The 20,581-nt window shown below is 35.8% G+C and overlaps 1 annotated feature.

Moving 5' to 3' along the window:
• Nucleotides 20,207-20,416: a silencer, noted in NCBI's record as "fragment chr4:47432124-47432333 (GRCh37/hg19 assembly coordinates)". NCBI's record gives its function as "represses an EF-1alpha promoter that drives an FKBP-Casp9 reporter gene in an ReSE screen in K562 erythroleukemia cells {active_cell/tissue: K562}" and the evidence as "EXISTENCE:reporter gene assay evidence [ECO:0000049][PMID:32094911]".

Raw genomic sequence — 20,581 nt, 5'->3', positions numbered from 1 at the left:
GCTTGTCTGTGAACTGTTTGTTACAGGTCAGTGATTCAATAAGGAGCTTGGGCCAGAAAGTGTATCAGTATACTGCTGTCTTCATCGAGAAATTTTGGTTTTAAAAAAATTATCAGCTGAAGGAAATAGTGTGCTTAGTGTGGTAGTTAATTTATCTTCTTGTGCAAGTTATTTGTTATGATGGGCCAGTGATGGTTTGTAGAACAGCACTTCGAGTAGCACTCATTGTGAAGTCTCTTCTAAATTTCAGCTTTCCATGCAGTATCTCCTTTACAAGAAAAACGTCTTGCTATAGTTAGTCTCTCTCTCACCACTTGGTAACACTCCATTAGCACATTCAGCAGCTTTATCGAAATTGAATCAGTATACTAAATACTGTGCATACTAAAGTGTGCAATGTGATATTTTGACATATACATATTTACATCCATGAAAGCATCACCACAAATTAGGATAATGAACATTTGATCACTCCTGAAGCTTTCCTCTTGGTCCTCTATAGTCCCTGTCCCTTCCATTTCCCACAAGTAACCACTGATCTGCTTCCTGTCACTATAGATGGTTGCATTTTTGGAAGTTTAGTATAAAGGAATCATATAGTGTGTAATTTTTTTTTAATCTGGCTTCTTTCAGCATTATTTTGCGTTTCATCCATGTTGCATGTATCCGTAGTTCATTTCTTTTTATTGTTCAGAAGTATTATGTTGTAGAGTTCTGCCACAATTTATTCACCTATTGATGGATATTTTGGTTGGTTCAAGTTTTAGGCATTAGAATACACAGAATGCTGCGAACTTTCTTGCATACATCTTTGAACGAACATATGCTTTTTTTTGAGCAAGTACTTTAGAATGAAATGGCTGGATGATATGGTAGGTTTATTTTTTCAAGATACTACCGAAATTAAAAAAAAATTTTATTTGAATAATTTTTGAGGGTACAGGTGGTTTTTGGTTGCACGGAGAAGTTATTTAGCGGTGATTTCTGAGATTTTAGTGCACCCATCACCCGAGCAGTATACTGTACCCTAAATGTAATCTTTTATCCTTCATGCCCCTCCCAGCCTTCCTCCCCAAGTCCACCATGTCCATTATATTACTCTTACGCCTTTGTATCCTCATAGCTTAGGTTTTCCATTCCCGAGTTACTTCGCTTAGAATAATGACTGTCAAGCTTTTTCAAAGTGATTTTAACATTTTGCATTTCCATTGCAGTCTATGAGAGTTCCAGCTCCATCTTGCCAACACTTGGCATTGCCAGTCTTTTTAATTTCAGTTATTTTAATATGTATTGTCTCACAGTGGTTTTAGCAATATTTAACAAATTTCCCTAATGACCAATGATGTTAAGCATCTTTTCATGTGCATATTTGCCATGTATACATCTTCAGTGAAGTGTCTGCTCAGATCTGTTGCCCATTTTTCAATTGGATTTTTTGTTTTCCTAGTATTGAGGTTTGAGAGCTCTTTTGACTTATTCTGAATACAAATCCTTTATTAGATAGATACTTTGCAGATACTTTCTTCTAATCTGTGGCTTATCTTTTTTCCCCCATGTAAATTGACCCTATATTGTTTTAGAACAGTTTTAGATAAACCAAACTTTAAGAGATAGTACAGAGTTTCTATATTATTAACATTTTACATTAGTACAGTGCATTTGTTATAATTAGTGAACTAATATTGACACAATGTTAAGTAAATTCTAGAGTCTATTCAAACAGAAAATTTCTAAGTTTTTCCCTAGTGTCCTTTTCCTGCCCCAGGATTCTATCCTAGATGCCGTATTACATTTAGTTGGCATGTTTTTGATGACCTTGACAGTGTTGAAGAGTGTGGGCGAAATACTTTGTGGGATGTCTCTCTCTGTTGGAATTTGTCTGATGTTTTCTTCATGATTAGACTTGGGTTATGGGTGTTGGGAAGGAAGATCACAGAGATAAAATGCCATTTTCATCACATCAAATCAAGGGTACATACTACTAACGTGATTTATGGCTTGATATTAATCTTGATACCTGGCTGAGGTACAGGTTTCTTCACTGTGAACTGACTCTTCATTTTCTCCTTTTCTTACTGTACTTAAGGAAATCACCATAGTTCAGCCCATACTTAAGGAGTGGGAAGGTGTGCTCTCCTTTTTGAGGCTGGAATATCTACATAAGTCGTGGAATTTTGTACCCATTTGTTTCTTTTCCACTATTGAGATTTCTACTTATTATCAGTATGGACTCATTTTATACTTTGGGTTATAATTCAGTACTGCTTTGTTACTCAAACTGTTCTAATGGCTTGGCCATTAGGAGCTCTTTCACTTGGCTCCTGTGTCCCTTTGACATATCCCCATCAATGAGGTTGGACTTTTTATTTTTTTCAGGGCGGGGGGTGCATCTTCTTTTTCTTTTTCATCTTGGAAAGTATTTTCTTACTCTCTGGCAGTGCAAAATGCCCCAGGCTCATCTTGTGTATTTCCTGTCCAATCCTAGAATCAGTTATTTCTCCAAGGAACTCTTGGTTCCTTTTATTGAAGAATGGTGTTAGAAACAGAGCTAGGTATACTCATTGCTACTGAGGTGTTATTTCTTTTAGGCCCTTTTGGTGCTGACAGAACTAAGAAATATGTATGTGTATACCAACCTGGGTATATACTCATATCTATATTTATATTATCATACATATCTATATTAAGCTAAACAAGCTCATATTGATGTCTCCAACTCTAATCCATTACATGGATTATTCTAGCCTCCTATCCTTCCCTATCTACAAATTTCAGTTCCAACAATGAGAAAGGAGTTAATCCATTTTGAGCAGGTTTCTGTGTGTGATGTCAGATAAGGGTTAGGTTCATTATTTTATGTGTGGACACTCAGTTTTCACAACCCTGCCTGTTGAAACTATCCTTTCCCCAGTGTGTATTCTTGGCACCCTTGTTGAAGATCAGTTGACTATATTCATGTGGATGTACTTCTGGGTGCTCTATTGTATTTCATTAGTCTACATGCCTGTTTTTATGTTACTGCTTTGCTGTTTTTGATTTTTGTAGCTTTTTTCATACATTTGTAGGCCCCTGTCAGAAAGTACGAGGCCTCCAGCTTTGTTCATTCTCAGGATTTTGTGTGTGTGTGTGTGTGTGTGTGTGTGTGTGTGTCTACTAGGGGTCTTTGTGGTTCCTTTGAATTTTGGGGTTTGGGGATTGCTTTTTCCTATTTCTGTAAAAAATGCCATTGGGATTTTATAGGGATTGCATTGAATCTGTAGATTGCTTTGAGTCATGTGGATATTTCAAAAATATTGAATCTTTAATTCATGACCAGTGCTGTCTTTTATTTGTGTCTTCTTTAATTTCTTTTAGCAATGTTTTGTAGTTTTCAGTGTACAAGTTTTCTGCCTCCTTGGTTAAGTTTATTTCTAAATATTTCATTCTTTTTGATGCTATTGTAAATGGGATTTTCTTAATTTCTTTTTTGCCTTGTTCATTTTTAGTATATAGAAATGCAACTGATTTATGTATGCTGAATCTGTATTCTGCATCTTTACTGAATTCTTTTATTGGTTCTGACAGCTTTTTTAAATAAGGTTTTCTACACATAAGATTGCATCGTTAATGAACAAAGATAATTTTAGTTCTTTCTTTCTGATTTGGATGCCTTTGACTTCTTTTTATTGCCTAATTGCTCTAGCTAGGTCTTTCAGTACTGTATCGCATAGAAGTGGCAAGGGTAGACATCTTTGTCTTCCTGGTGTTAGAGAAAAAGCTTTCAGTTTTTCACTAAGTATGATGTTAGCTGTGGGCTTTCATATGTGGCCTTTATTATATTTATATAATTTTCTCTATTTCTAATGGTTGAAAGTGTTTTTTATCATGAAAAGGTGTTAATTTTTGTCAAATGCTTTTTCTGCATCTATTGAATTCATTATGTGATTTTTATCCTTTCTGTTTATGTGATTGATTGATTTTCATATGTTGAACCATCTTTGCATCCCAGGGATAAATTTCACTTGATCATCGCGTATGATTTTTTTTAATGTGTTGTTGAATTTGGCTTGCTATTGTTTTGTTGAGGATATTTGTACCTATGTTTGTTAGAGATATCGGCGTGTGGTCTTTTTTGTTAATATCTTTGTCTGGATTTAGCATCAGGATCATGGTGACCTCATACAATGAATTTGAAAGTGTTCCCTCTTCAGTTTTTTGGAAGAGTTTGAGGAGGATTGATTTTAATTCTTCTTTAAATGTTTGGTAGAATTTTTCAGTGGAACCCTCTGGTCCTTGACTTTTCTGTGTTGGGAGATTTTTGATTACTGATTCAATCTCCTTGCTAGTTGTAAGTCTTCATATATTCTATTTTCTCATGATTCAGTCATCGTAGGTTGTGTGTTTCTAGGAATTTATCTATTTCTCTTAGGTTATCTAAGTTGTTAGCCTATAATGGTTCATAGCAGTCTCTTGTAATCCTTCTTATTTCTGTGGCATCAGAAGTAGTATCCTCTGTTTCATTTCTGATTTTTTAATTGTGAATTTTCTTTTGTTCTTAGTCTAGCTAAAGATTTGTCAATTTTTCTATTTTCAAATAACCAACTCAGTTTCATTGGTTTTTATTTTGTTTTTATATTCTATATTTCATTTATTTATGCTTCAATCTTTATTATTTCCTTCCCGCTGCTAAGTTTGGGTATAATTTTTTCTCATTTTTCTAGTGGTTGAAGAGTATCTTGTTTAATTTTCACATATTTGTCAATTTTCTAGTTTTCTTATTGCACTGATTTCTAGTTTTATTCCACCGTGGTCTGAAGAGATACTAGGTCTGATTTCAATCATCTTAAATTTGTTAAGACTTGTTTTGTAACCTAACATGGGCAATTCTGGATAATGTTTCATGTGCTTTTGGGAAGAATGTGCATGCTGTTGCTGTTGGATGGAATGTTCTGTATATGTCTGTTAGGTCTATGTGATCTATAGTGTTGTTCAAGCCCTTTCGTCCACTATTGATATGTCTGGATGCCCTATTATTGAAAGTGGGGATACTGAAACCTACTATTATTGTGTTGCTGTTTGTTTCTCCTTTCATTTCCCTCAATGTTTGATTCATATATTTGGATGCTTTAATGTTGGGTACTATGTATTTATCGTTGTTAGATCTTCCTGGTGATTGACCATTTTATCATTATATAATATCCTTTATCTATTTCTGTGTCTGTGTTGTCCCGCGCAGATTCCCAATTAATGATTTGTGGGTTCCTCAGATGTCCATAATCTCTCCTTCCTTCTGGTGTCAGTCTGTGGTACTGCAGGTTTTCTGGACTGTCACAAACAGCCCCACTCTTTTGTTCTCAGATGCCCAAGGCTTCTAGAGTTTTCTAGGTCCTGTTAGTACTCCGAGTCAGGCAAGAGAGAAATCAGTCCCTTGGGAAGCCCTAAAACATCAGAACATTGGATACATGCTCCGCAATTCTCTCCTCCACCCCCAGTTCCCAGGGAAAGGCTACCAAGTTGTATCAGCCTCCACTGTACTGCAGGTCTTCTGGAATGACAGGAAGCAGCCAAGCCCTCTTCTGTCCTCAGCGGCCTCTAGGCATCTAGGGTATTCCAAGTCCTGTCCATAATCCCAGACAGAAAACAGTCACTTGGGCAGCCCCCTGTAAAGACAGAACGCTGAAGTCATGCTCCAACTCCTTTCCCTGGGAGAAACCAGGAGTTGGGAGTTTTCTGCTGGTTCCATGCTGAGCTTTGGAGGTGGACTGTGGTGAATGAATGCCACAAATGTTCTTATTGGAGATGCAGCTGGTTTTGTGTTCTCTTAAGTTACAGATGCATTTTAACTAGTCTCTGGATTACTCACAAAAGAAATTGGTCTGTATGTTGTTGACTTCAGATCTCAGGTAGTCAGGGGCTTTCTATTCTGCTGTCTTGCTGATGTTACTCCACTTTGCAGTTCTACGAACAATGAGAGTTGTTGCTTTGAATTCTCAGCAGCATTAGGTATTATCGGTATTTTGAGTTGTAGCTATTCTAATAGAGATGTAGTGGTATCTCATTGTTATTTTAATTTGCAGTTCCCTAGTGACCAAGGGTGTTGAGAATCTGTTCTTATGCATGTTTTCTATCTGTACATATTCTTCGGCGAGGTGTCTGTTCAGATGTCTTTGCTTATTTTTAATTAGGTTGTCTTAATGTTGATTTTTAAAAGTTCTTTGTATATTTTGGATAGATGTTCTTTATTAGACATGTGTTTTGCAAACATCTTCTTCCAGTCTGTGGCTTGTTGTTTCATTCTCCCAACTGTCTTCAAGGGCTGTGGTTTTAAATTTTGAAGAAGTTCAGTTGACCAGTTCTTTTTTGGATCATGCTTTTGGCATCATATCTAAGAAATCATTGTCTAACCCAGATTAACAAATATGATCTCCTAAATTGTCTTTTAGAAATGTGATAGTTTCAGTTTTACCTTTAGGTCTATGTTCTATTTTGTGTTAATTTTTGAATATGGCACACGGTGTGGCTCAAAGTTCACTTTTTGCATGTGAATATTCAATTATTTCAGCACCATTTGCTGAAAAGGCTATGCTTTCTCTACTGAACTGCCTCTGTGCCTTTGTCAAAAATTAATTGTTCAGGCCTGGCGTGGTGGCTCACGCCTGTAATCCCAGCACTTTGGGAGGCCAAGATGGGTGGATCACTTGATGTCAGGAGTTCGAGACCAGTCTTAATTTTAACACCAGTGTTAGTGTTGATTGACTAGTCTTCTCATTATGGATCTCGTTTTCCTTTTTCTTTGAATGCCTGGTAATTTCTGATTGGGTGCCAGACGTGATGAATTTAACCTTATTGGCTGTTGGCAATTTTTATATTTCTGTAAATAATCCTTGAGCTTTGTTTTGAATTGAATGCAATTAAGTTACTCGGAAACAGTGATCTATTAAGATCTTGCTTTTCTGATTTGTGAGGCAGATCCAGAGCAGTGCTCAGTAATGGGCTAATTATTCCCTATCACTGAGACAAGACTGTCTTGAGTACTTTACCTACTGCCTTGTGAATTAAGAGATTTTCCAATTTAGTTGTTGGGAACAGGCACTATTCCTGGCAATGCGTGAGTACCAGACCTGTTCCCTCTAATTTCTTCAAGTAGCTCTTTTTCCAGCCTTGGGTTGTTTCTTCACATGTACGTACTGATCGATACTCTCCTGAATACTCAAAGGGCAATCTGCTCTAGATTTCTGGGGTTGTTTTTTTCTGCAACTTCCTCCTCTTTGGTTTTCTCTCTTGTGAATTCTAGCTGCCTTGGTCTTCCCGGATTCTCAGTTGTACTTCCTCAATTCAGGGAGCCCTCCAGGCTCCCCACGGGTTCCTGTCTCTGAACTGTGGTCTGATAACTCTGTCAAGTAAGCTGGAGCAGTCGTAGGCTGCACCTGCTTTGTTTCCTGTCACTCAGGTATCATTATCCTGTGTTCCCTGATACTTGGTGTCTTGAATACCAGTGGTTTGTGTGTGTCAAGGAGTCAGGAGTGGGGGTGGGTGGCTGTTTTTGTTTTTGATTGTTTCAAGTCATAGTGTAAATCCTGTACCTGTTTTTAAAAGTAATTTTTATTTCAATAGCTTTTGGAGTACAAGTGTTTTTGCTTTTGGAGTCTTAGTCATGAATTCTTTGCCTAGGCTCGTGTCTAGAAGAGTTTTTCTAATGTTGTCTTCTAGAATTTTTATAGTTTTAGGTCTTAGATTTAAGTCCAACTCAAGATGCATCTTGAGTTAATTTTTGTATAGGTGAGCGATAATGATTTGTTTCATTCTTCTACATGTGGCTTGCCAGTTTTCCCAGCACCATTTATTAAATAGGGTATCTCTTCCTCAATTTATGTTTTGGTGTGCTTTGTTCAAGATCAGTTGACTGTACATATTTGGCTTTACTTCTAGGTTCTCTATTCTGTTCAATTGGTCTATGTGCCTACTTTTATACCAGCACCATGCTGTTTTGGTAGCTATCACCTTGTAGTATAATTTGTTCTTTTTGCTTAGGATTGCTTTGGCTATTCAGGCTCTTTTTGGGTTCCATGTGAATTTTAGGATTGTTTTTTCTAATTCTATGAAAAATGATGTTGGTATTTTGATGGGAATTACATTGAATCTGTAGATTGCTTTGGGCACCATGGTCATTTGCACAATATTGATTCTTCTAATCCATGAGCATGGGGTATGTTTTCATTTGTTTATATCGTCTATGATTTTTTTCAGCAGTGTTTTTGTAGTTCTCCTTGTAGAAATCTTTCACCTCATTGGTTAAATATACTCCTAGGTATTTTATTTTATTTTTGGCAGCTGTTGTAAAGGGGAAAATTCTGTACCTGTTAATCCATCTTGATTGGAAGTGTAAGCCCATGTCATTAAAATTTTAGGTTAAGAAAAAAATTATTTTTTGTTCTTAGTCTAATGTGAACTGAATGCCTGAGAGATGTTGTGGGCAGTTAATTATAAAGTAGTGTAGTTATGTTAATTCTGAAGTCATTAGAGAAGATGAGAAGATAGGATGCAATGTTTATTTTATCCCTGTAACTATAGCTTGATAAGATTGAATCTTAGAATTAGGGTCAAAAGCTGAGCTATATCATGTAGCGTTTTATTTTCTGCTTAGGGTTATTTAAGAAAAAGCATCCTGGAAATAGTTAAGACCCTTTTAAAGGAGAGCAGATTCAAATAAACTCCTTTGAGAGGATTATCTCTCCTTGCACATACAGAGTACGTAACTGGTAGGCTGTACCGCACAGACAGACTGATCTACAGCTTGTCTAGCAAAAGTGATTCAATCTTGTGATGACCTGCCTTGCAAACCCAAACATAATTCATTGATAATAATGTCACATATTCCTGTGATAATTGAAATAGTTAAGGTTATATTTGTTTAACATTGGGACATAATTATCTTCTAATAAAGCTAAAGTTTCTGTTAAGAATGCTATTTTCTTTGAAAAGGGAGTTACTTCTGTAGCTAATACCTATGTTGAGAATGTGATATGATGATATTCATAGACTCAACGTCCAGCCAAGATTGACATCTCCTGCTACTGATATTTTCTGTTTAGGATATATGATGAATATTTTATTTTTCTTTTAAGAAAACCCCGAGTTTAGGTGAAATATTGTCTTTTATTTATATGCTACCAGACGCCAAAGTTAACGGATTTAAAAGTTGATTTACTTTTTATTAATTTCTCCAGAGCGGAACATTAGTTGTATGTGGATTTTTTTTTTTTTTTTTTTTTTTTTTTTTTTTTTTTTTTTTTTTTTTTTTTTTTAGTTTAGGGTCTCTTTGTTTTTTCCAACATAATGTTTCTGCATTCATCTATTCTTAAAATGAAAACCACATAATTTACTTCTTATAAAGTCTTAAATGGGAAACCAAGAAATTTAATCGAGCAGTAAAAACATTCTCAAAATGTAGACCATGATCTCAGTTTCTTCCATTTTTCTCCCGAGTAGAAAATAGACTTCTGCATAAGAAAGCTAAAATGTGTTAATATTTTTAAGTTAAAGGTTTAATATTATCAGAATACAATCCAAAGAGTAAATCAAATTACATAATTACATTTTTATTTATTAAATATGGAATCATCTACTGAATTGCAATACATTAAATATACTGTTTCCTCTTAAATAAAACTGCTTGACAGTTAAAAAATTATGGGCTTGCCATACTTGCAGGTCTCTTATGTTTTTAGATCTTATTTACTTATTTATATTTTTACAGTGAAATAGTAATTTAAAAAGAGGATGGGAAAATTCTGTAGTCACTTGAGTTTCCTCTAGCCACATTTTATTGCAAACCAGTTCCTCCTTTGAACATCTTTATAATTTAAGTCTTTAAAAATGCTTTCATTTCAAACACTAAATATTTCTATATTAGAAAAGTTTTTACAGTATATTAAATTATTTTTTCCACATGCCCCACCCCTTTACAGTATATTTTAAATACTATCTTTGGATTTCATTTCTTTCTGTTTTGTAAGATGGATACTATAATTCACCCTGGTAAACTCAGTTTTTCTTTCAGTATTATGTGTACAATATACATTGTACTGTACAATGTACATTAATGAAAAACACATAATACACATTCAGTGTACATTTTCTTTCAGTACTATGTGTTTTTCATTAATGTACACTTCATAATGTATATTGAAACTGAACATGTTGAAGCTCAACAAGAGTTTTCGATTAATTCTGTTTATATTCTGAACGATTAGAATGTCTAAGTGTAAGGCAGAGTACGAGCTTTGGAGTTGGGCATCTGGCTTGGTCACTTACTTGGCAAACTCTTTTTGTCTTGATGAACTTCCATATCTCTGTGCACAAAATGGGAAAAACAAAAATCTCATAAATTTTGGATTAATTTAATTCTCACAAAATGTCTATGAAGCAAATTCTAATGTTATCTTCAGAGAAAAAAATGGCCAAGCTGAATAGCACCATGTGTAAGCACGTTCTGCAGAACTGGCAGAGCTTCCAGCATAAAAGAAAGGGAGAGAGGAAATGTTCTAGAGTCAAAGAGACTTAAGAGACCTCACTTGGATCCTCACTTGAAAAAACAACTGTAAAAAGGTATTTTGGAGACAATTGGGGAAATGTGAATAAAATTCATTAAATGTCAAGGAGCTATTATTTTTGTTTGGTATGATAATGGTTATTATGGTTAGATTTTCTTAATCCCCATAATTTACAGATATATGTATAAGTGAAATCACATAAGGGATAAGATTTACCTTGACATACTTTAGAAGAAAACCCCACAACTGATTAAATGAAGCAAGTGCAGCTTAATTGTTGCAGACTTTTGGATAGTTGTGGAATCTGGGTGATGGTTATGTTTGAAATGTTTCAGAATTAAAAAAAGAGAAAAATTATGCAGTGGACTCAGATATGAAATAACTGGGATACTAGTGACACAGATACAGAGACTATGCAAACATATGTTCCCAGGTGCCTGGAGAACTCTCTTGCATGCCAGTGTATGACAAAAATACTTTCATCCAAGCACTTTCATATTCACTTTGTAATTATTGTGAATGTGTAGATATGCTAGTTTGCCCTAATATGGTTTATTAAGTTGGCCTCCCCATCTAAACTGTAATTTTCTCTGAGACTGAGAAGATCGGTTTGATATCTTTATCCTTTTCCCATTGCCCTTGCATGATTACTATTCAATCATTGCTGAATTAAACAACACTTTCCTTTGTTTAGGAAGATGCTGGATGCTAAACACCTGTCTTACTCAGGCTTCTTATTGACATAGCAAATTCTAAACGTGTTACATATACATGTGTTCCTTTTCTGCTTTAAATAAAACTGATGGGTATTTATTTCTCCCATTGTGTAATGTAGTCTGTGGAAATAGTAGCCAGTGTAGGATGCCTCAGATATATCCAGCTCTGCAGGCCAAAGCTCAGCTTTTAAAGTGGCGATTCCCAGTTATTTTGTTAAATGGATGTTAAAGTCATCCCTGGGTTGGAGTTTAGACTTTTATTGAAAAGCTTTTCTACTAATCACCAGTTAATGGATGAATAAAATTCACACTTTTGGTCTCTTCATTGTTTTATTGTCAACACATTCTTTCTCAAGGGAGAGAATTAATTTGGAAGTTGGAGGTCTTCAAATTAGGAAAGTCTGACAAATAGGCCAACTCTAATATTCATATTTACAGTGGAGATTTTCAAAGAAGTTTGACATAATACACCTCACAAAGGGATGCCAATAAGTCAGTTTTAGGCATTATTTTTGAATACAAGGAGACTGTTCATTTCTTCTTTTCTAGTATAAACACACCATATGTTTAAGTGTTTGTAAGGCATGTTGTCATCTTAAATAATATTTAAAAAAATCAAAGTGGTACAGACACAAGCTCCTGGAAATGTGCTGGTATCTTTTTTTTTTTTTTTGATTGTTGAGTAATCCTGAAATGAATTTCTTCCAAATAAAGGGATGTAGCTTTGTATTAAATTTTGTAATAAAAGTTCTCAAATGATAGATTCAAAATTCTAAACATTTTTAAGGATTATAAAAAGATATGCCTGAAATCTTGCATGTTTTAAAACGTAGTACAAAGTAAGCTTTTTATATGTAGGCATTTGTAATTTAAAAAAAAGTTTTATTTGTGTTTTCAGAATAAACGAGCTAACATAAATTGTACATATTTACAGCAATAAACTACATTTCAGAAGCTGCACAACAACTTTTATAAGTACAGCTGATGATTTTTGACACCAGCTTTCAAATGTGTTTTCATTCTTTCATTTGCTGCAACATTTAAAATCTTGTAGTACCAAAGCAAAGGAAACACCAAGTTATTTTATAGCAAAGCCACATTATTAACAAAAAATACTGAGTGAACTACAGTCCCGTGACTGTTATGGTATCTGTGAGTCCTGAAATCGAGAGCACAAGCATTTCTTGTGTCCATACCTGATTGCATGTAAATTGATTTTGCATTTTACAAGAACACACAATTACTCAAGGAATAATTAAGAATAGAAAAAAGGCCATGAAGGGTAAAAGGGTCAGGAATCAGAGGCCACTGAACAGTTTCTTATTCACTGATTCACTGCTTAGGAGGAAATTGGTTTTTTTCTTTCACGTGTATAAATCACAGTCAACAGGCTTCATGGATTTTGTCCACAGATAGCTTTTGAGATAACAAAGCCATAAATGTCACATACATTAAGCACATAAAAAGGAATTAATGAAACGGTTAGAGTATTTTAATCAAATCCCTAACAGAAGGGGTACAGTTAAGCACACACAGTATGAAAGTTTGCTTTCAAATGTAAAAAGCAACTACAGAAAATCACAAGTTTCATTAGACAGAACAGCAATTTCAATCAGAAAATGCAGCATATATTGATACAAAATAGAAAACTTGAAATATAAAAGTAAGGAGTCCACCTTTTCCTTTCTTGGCATTTTTTTAAACCTGTCCCATTTCATTAAAATTTCTACAGGTTTTACTGAAATACTCACTCTTGACATTTAGCTTCTTTAGTGTCTGGTAGGTATACAAAAGTATTACCTGCTTAGGTAAGAAAGCAAATGCTTATGTCAAAGAGCCTTAAAATATTGTAATTTATGTTTATTTGCAATGAAAGAAGTCTACTTGGTAAAAATAAAGAGGGAGAAAAGGATTCTTTTATTTACAAGAATTGTAATACCAATCAGGATATGAGTTGGTTAAATAATGTTTGGTAGGAGGATAGATAGCAAATTGGTAACTGGAGATCTAAAAACACAAGGAATGAAACATTTAACATGTAACGTATTTGGTGAGTTTAGCATAACGGATTTTGAGAGGCAACAGAAGGTATGTATTTCTTTCTGTATATACGTAGCACCTGCTTTTGAAAGCCCCAGCTATTTAGTACAGGATGCTATGAATTAAAATTGCAGGAGACTGGTGTGGAAAGTTCAGCTAATTTTCTGATTCAATGAAGTTTTAGGTGAGGTGGTAGCCAAAGAGGTGTCCCATTGCTGGCAGGATAGTAGTTTCCTAATTTTTAGTCTCATGAGTCCTGCTTTCTCAAACCTCCTGAATCACTGTAGGATTAGGCCCCTTGAGTAAAGTCAAGAGGAGCAAAATAATGTTCAGAGATGATAGACAGGAGAAGTTTTCAAGCAAGCCACGCTCAACACAGATGCCTTTCTTTCAAAAACAATTTTATTTGTATTAAACAATATTAAACTTCCCAATTTTCATGTCTGTTAACCTTTTAAATGACATGCCAACATTATTTCACATTAGCCATCAGGCTTCCATCATGATGGCACAGCATGCTGCATGGTGGTTAAAAAGGATAAAGCTTATTTTAAAATATCAAAAAGTTTTTGGTCCTTGTAAACATGTAAGTCATTTGGAATTTTCAAAAATGTTGTGAAATCTTGGCTTTGTATAATGCCACGTGGTAGTTTTTTTTTTTTTTTTTTTTTTCCTTTATTTAGGCAGTGTCTCACTCTGTCACCCAGGCTGGAGTACAGTGGCACGATCTCAGCTCACTGCAGCCTCAGCCACCCGGGCTCAAGTGATCCTCCCACCTCAGCCCTCCGAGTAGCTGAGACTACAGGCACGCGCCACCATGCCTGGCTAATTTTTGTATTTTAAGTAGAAACGGGGCTTCACCACGTTGTCCTGGCTGGTCTTGAGCTCATGGGCTCAAGAAATCAGCCCACCTCAGCCTCCCAAAGTGCTGGGATTACAGGTGTGAACCACCGTGCTTGGCTGACATGGTAGTTTTTATCAAGAAAAAGAGTTACTGACTCTCCTTGAGATAAGAAGCTGAGCAACACAGTCAATAAATATATGTGTATATAATCATGAACATTCCCTTCTTGGAAGAGTACTGGATGTTCTGAATATGAAAGAACACTTGGATATATAATTCTGTTTTCCATGACACTGAAGTTAAGTTAGAATAATCAAAGGACTTCCCTAAAATTGTCTCAGGGGCATTGTTGTAAAATTTCAAGCTTTATCCAGTGAGTATTTTAAAAAGATCTAACAAACAGATCAACAATGAATTAATTAGCTTAAAAAAAGAAAAAGCAGATACACTGCAATTCAATTTATTTGAGGAGTATCAGGTAGAAAAATACGTTATCTAGTAAACTGGGATGGCTGGTTGCCACTCTGAGGTAAGGCTTGCAAATTATATATTTCTTTTATGCAAATTAGTAAATTATTTAACAGGACAACTGGAAAGTTAATAATTGAAAAAAGGGGGTGGAGGCAGAAAATGCATTTCCTTGTACATCTATTATATTTTATGCACTCTTGAGAAGCAGTGGTGAATGTCAAGAACTGTCCATCCCTCTTATATAGTTCTAAATCTTCTATTTATATCTTGGCAGAAATAGGATTTGTTGTGCAGTACCTTCTGGGAGTATTAGAATTCACATGGGAATGTTCCATCAATAATACAGTGTAGCCCCAGCTTCAAGAATAAATACCCTGTAGAACCTAGATTTAAAAGGCCATTAATAAGGCAAACAATGATAAACAGGGGAAAAAACTATAAAAGAAAACTTTCCTTTTTCCATAAAGGAAAAGCAGCGGTAATTAGCAAGGAATATTCAATTCTTCTAGAACTGGTAGAATCTAGATTGGTGGTATTATCAGGATTCAGTCTGCTTGGAAAATCCCAGTAGAAAAAAATCTTAATGACCACTTTGCAAGACACAAACCTGGATTCAACTGTACCTTTGACTGCATTTTTTATTCTTTGAGAGGTTGTAGATAGAGGCTCTATGGGACTAAAATAATTTGAGAGAGGAGGTCATCTGTCCCACAAGGTATTATCTATAATCCTGAAATATTGCCTGTTATGAAAAAGTGTTTGTCTTTTGCTGCCTTTCCCACTGTAGGTGATCTAATCAGCATTTATAGACCCTGCCATGGGCAGAACAATAGTTGCTTTGGACAATACAAAAGAATTAGAAAATGGGGTGTTTGCTTTTAAGGACCTCACAAAGGGAGGCAGAATATCTCTTTGCAAAACTAGAAATGTGCAAATAAACTGTCTATTATTATTGAATAAAGTGACCACAAGAATTGAGGGAGTGTTAACAGGAGAGTGAACAGAATGAGGCAGGGTGCTCATGGACAGCATTTTTGAGGATGTTGGCCTGATTCATAAACCACGATTGAGATGGGGCTAGGAAGAAAAATATCTAATCAGTGGAAATAAAATGTAAAACTTCAAGCACAGCAGTGAGGACATTTTGGGATGATGTGTGGATGTTGGAGTGGAAGGATAAGGAAGACCTGAGGATGAGCTTGCTTGCAGCTAATTAAGGAACTCATGGAGAAATAAGGTGAGTATGAACGAGTGGTGGAGAAGACTGGGCCAGACTTAAATGATTTGTAGGGAGCCAAGACATGTTTTCTGTAGTGTGTTAATGTTACATTTATTAATATTTCCCCACCCTTCAGGTGGCTGAGATCCCATAATTATGGTGGTCGTATCATTTATTATTCACATGGACAATTTTGAGAGTGAAAAGGAGTTTTATTAATAATTACACACTGAGACTGTCTGAGGCAAATTGGGTCATATGGTCTAAACAATAATGTTAACCAAAAAGAACTGGAGCACATTTCAGGCTATTTTGCTGCTGTGCAAACTTTCCTTCTATATATTTTCTCAAGAGACTAAGGAAAGGCTTTTATGTATGGGTAAGCAAGTGGGTGGAACAGATGGAAAAAGCAGAAAACAAAACTGGACACAGAGTGTCTACTGAGCATGATATTTATCTGTTGGGAGTGGGAATAGTTCTCTTCCCCCTTACTCTCTACTCATTTTTGAACTGCCCAAAATCTGGATCATCAAGGTAAAATGGATAAAATCTAGACAGCTTAGTAGAGTGGAAAAAGCTTGAATGGCCAGGAAATACTCAGGAAAATCATGAAAGTTTAGAGTTGGAAGGTATCTTTCAACAAAGAAGAAAAAGTTAAGAACATCTGTTTACAGAAGTTGTATTGAGGACAATGTTCAGAGACCGGAATTCTTCATGCATGCTTGAAGAACATGAATAGCTAGAATGCTAATCACAAATTAATAAACTGTCAGTTTTGTCATGGCTGTGCCTAACACCAGTGGATTTAACTAGGTAAGTAGTTAACTAGGTAAGTAGTTAACTAGGTAAGCCGGGGTGGAAGGACTTGAGCAAGGAGAGTGGATAACAGATGTTCTAAAGACCTTGGATCTTTCCAACTATTATAGATGGAAAGCTGCTTCTTGCCTGAGAGCTCAAAAATATCTGCTACTCTACTTTCAGGAAACAAGACAGTGTGGGGTCCAAGACTGAGGAGGGCACTGCAACAACATTTGGGCTTAGATGCTGCCTAGAGATTGGCTTTTCTACCCATGATGGGGTGTTGCATGGCTGTTCCTTAATTGAATTACAGAGAATGGTTTAAGAACATCTTTATCTTCCAGGGATCTAAAAATAAAGGATTTGTATTATCTGAGACTCTCTCTTAAAGGGAAATATTGTAGTTATAGAAAATTACAAAAATAGTAACATTTTTCCACTTGGCTTGCAAATGTAACTGTATGTCCTATATATTTTTAAAGGAACATGAATAGGTATTGAATTCAATTCACTTGATACCAGATGGCTTACTCTCAAAGACATGATATCAAGAATTATTACCAAATTAGTTGGGTTATGTTAGCAGAGGCCATGGTCCTCCTGTATCTTTCTGCTAACCTCCCATACAAATGAACTTCTCTAAAATTACCTTTGAAATTTAGTTTTGGAAGAGAACTTGGAGGTCATCTGGTGGCATGTTCAAAGTCATGCTCCTAGGCAGTGGCAGAGACAGCACCAAGACCAGGTCCCCAATCATATTAATAATTCCAAGGTGTCTTCCATCCACTGTGAATTCCCTCTCTCCATCATGATGCTCACTTATTGTTAACTTTTCGAGGTTAGGCTGCATACTCTTTGGTATATGTTTAGAGAACTCTCTTCCAAATCTATATAAATGCTGTCTAGAGGAAACAGATGTTCTACATATTTTTATGGGAGAAATTTAGACAGTTTGCAGGCTGTCTGCAAGGCTGAGGGGAAGTGGGTAGGGTGTTATATAGAAGTAGAAATTTGTAATGGGGGTAATATACAAAAAAGATGAAATGGATCAAGGATAGTCTGTAACTAGTGGTGTGCTATTTGAATGATAAGCCCTTCTAGGAGGAATAATAATAAATTGTAAAATGGGCCTACTGGAGACTGAAAAAGCTAATGAATAAACAAGTTTGATAAAGGATTGATACACTTTAAGTTCACTATATTACAATTATAGTGTAAGGAGATGGCCTTATCTTCAAACTCTGGGGTAGATAATATAAATTTCTGTAAGATTGAGCTAAAGATTTTTATTTCCACTTTATTTTGAAATAGGCCGGGACAGAGAAGGTTTATGTAAATACATGTACTCTTTACATAAGTGACAGAAAAGCAGAAAAGAAAAACAACTCAAGGCAGTTCAGAGGAGGCTATTATGATTATACAACCTGCCTCTAAAGGACTTTTAAAGGCAATGGGAATAAGAATTTGGAAAAAAATTATTAAAATTCATTGTTTTAGTGAATTCAATTGAGTCCAAAGAAGTCAAAACTTTCAACTGTTCATAGGCAAGATAGCCTATGAGGTTTGGAAATAAGAAAGAGGAAAAATAATGGAATCAATTTCATTGGGTTGACATGAGGCAGGATGGTATACAGTGTGGGAAGGAAAGAAGACAGGAGAGGTAATCTATTTTACACAAGTCAAACTTGCAAAATGCACACACATCATATTTTAACAATTTGTCCCTATAAACAATTATATTAGAAAATGTCCTCCCTTCCCTGTTTCTCTGAAAAACAAAACAAACCCAGGAAGAAGAAGCAAGAGCCAGGTAGCAATACTGATTGCTCTTGCTCATTCTTTGGCATCCAAATGAGGTTGTAATTAAGCTAATGAATCTGTGACCCTGTAAACCTAAGGCAAATGAATAATGCTATTTGGCCTTTCTTTCACTTACTTATTTTTATTGGTTTGTTTTTTGATTGTCTGCAGAAACAGAAATGCAGGTAGTGTTGTTCAGAAAAATGATTTTCCTTCCCAAATGGTTCAGAAATACACCTACTTTTCCCACCTTGAATTCTGACTGGACTGAATGCTTTCTGATCAGTGCTGGTTGTTTCAGGATATGCAAAGTATCCAGGGGCCAATAGGGAATGGTTATGAGTCCCTTGATGTAACAAGGACTTTTTAATTAGAAAAAAACAAAACAAAACCAACTAACCAAACAAAACACCCAAACAAACAACTGTTAGACCGTTTCAATTTGAATAAGAATTTCTTGCTATAGGAGAAGTAATAACAAACACAAAACTCTTTACCCTTATCCTTCCAGGAGCTTATTATTCTCTGGTTTGCAATTCCTCTATTAAAAATGATTTCCTTTCAAATGCTTTTAAATTGCAGTCTCCAAAAATTATGTTTTCTATTTAGTTGATTTCAGTTATCTTAAAAAAAGAAAGCGTGGTTACAGTAAAAGCACAGTGTGTTCTGGAACTAGTAACTGACTGACCTGATCAGTTCAAACAAAACATTTTTCTTTCTCAATTGATGGTGGACCCTAGTTGGCAAATTTTAGAACCAATATATCTCAAAGTCATGGCTTACTGAACTCTCCTGGCACTTAAAATGTTGGCATAAAAAGTCCTATCTTGCAAAGTTCTTACCTCCAAGAAAGATGTTGTCCATTCTAAAACATTACTAAGAAACAAGCTGGTTTAGATATTCTGAATTTCTATAGACACCATTGCTCTCCCTGGGACTGCCAGTTTGCATGGAAACACATCTTGTGGCATAATATTCCACCATTCTGAAGACTTTTTCAGGAATACCAATACTTGGGAGAAATGTATTTGAGAACATTTAATTACCAGACTCTTTTAAGCTTAATTAGCACATATCACACATATCCCAAATACTTGTGTGTTTTTTTTCTTTCTCTCTCTCTCTCTCTCTTTTTTTTTTTTTTTAAAGAGACAGAGTCTCATTCTGTTGCCCAGGTTAGAGTGCAGTGGCACGATCATAGCTCACTTGAACTCCTGGGCTCAAGTGATCCTCCCACCTCAGCCTCCCAAGTAGCTAGGATTACAGGTGCATGCCAACACGCCCAGCTATTTTTTTTTTTTTTTTTTTTTTTAACAGAGACAGGCTTTGCTATGTTGTCCAGGCTGGTCTCAAACTCCTGGCCTCAAGTGATTCTCCCACCTTGGCCTTCCAAAGTACTGGAAATACAGGCATGAATTACCATGTCTGGCCAAAAATACTAGTTTCAAGTCCCAGTGTATAACAATATTTCTCTTTGCCTTTAAAAAATAATGACATGGTTACCTCTGGATCTTTCAGGAATGAATCAGCCTGTTGGTGTTACCAATCATTTACTGTCCTTCCTTTGTTCCTTCCCATCATTTGGACATTTGACTCTTTACCCTGATCAAACCCATCCATTCACTTCTATTCTTAATAGAAGTTCCGGGAAACTGGAAGAGAACAAGTTAGAAGCTAAAGCTGTTGGTGCAAATAAAGCTTTGGATTGCCTGTGGATTTTGAATATCTTTTCCATTCCTGACCCCCTCAACGGCATGGATAATTCAGTATCTGAATATATGAATAGCCACGAATGACTGATAAAGACAAATCTCTTTATGACGCAGTTCAAGGAGCAGCTTGCTACAGTTTCCGTTTCTGCTGGTGCGCTGTTCCTGAGCCCCACAGGCTTGCCGCCTTCTCATCAGCTGCTGTTCCTTTCAGTGGGGTAGGGGGATGAGGCAGTGATCACAGACACCTGGCTATGGCTTGCAGCAGAGTTACACAACTGCACACACAAAATGGCAGAGAAAGAGCAAGAGCTAAAAAGATTCTGGTTTGGGCCCAAATCACTAGTCATTTCACTTCATGAAGAAAAGCAAATACCTTATAAGCTTACATTATTTACAATGCTCAGATTTTTTGAACATCCACCCAAAGCTGAGGACCACCACACAACAGG

This window comes from Homo sapiens, chromosome 4 (assembly GCF_000001405.40).
Source record: "Homo sapiens chromosome 4, GRCh38.p14 Primary Assembly".
Lineage (NCBI taxonomy): Eukaryota > Metazoa > Chordata > Mammalia > Primates > Hominidae > Homo > Homo sapiens.
The sequence above is the reverse complement of the archived record's forward strand: the minus strand, read 5'-3'. Positions and strand labels throughout refer to the sequence as shown.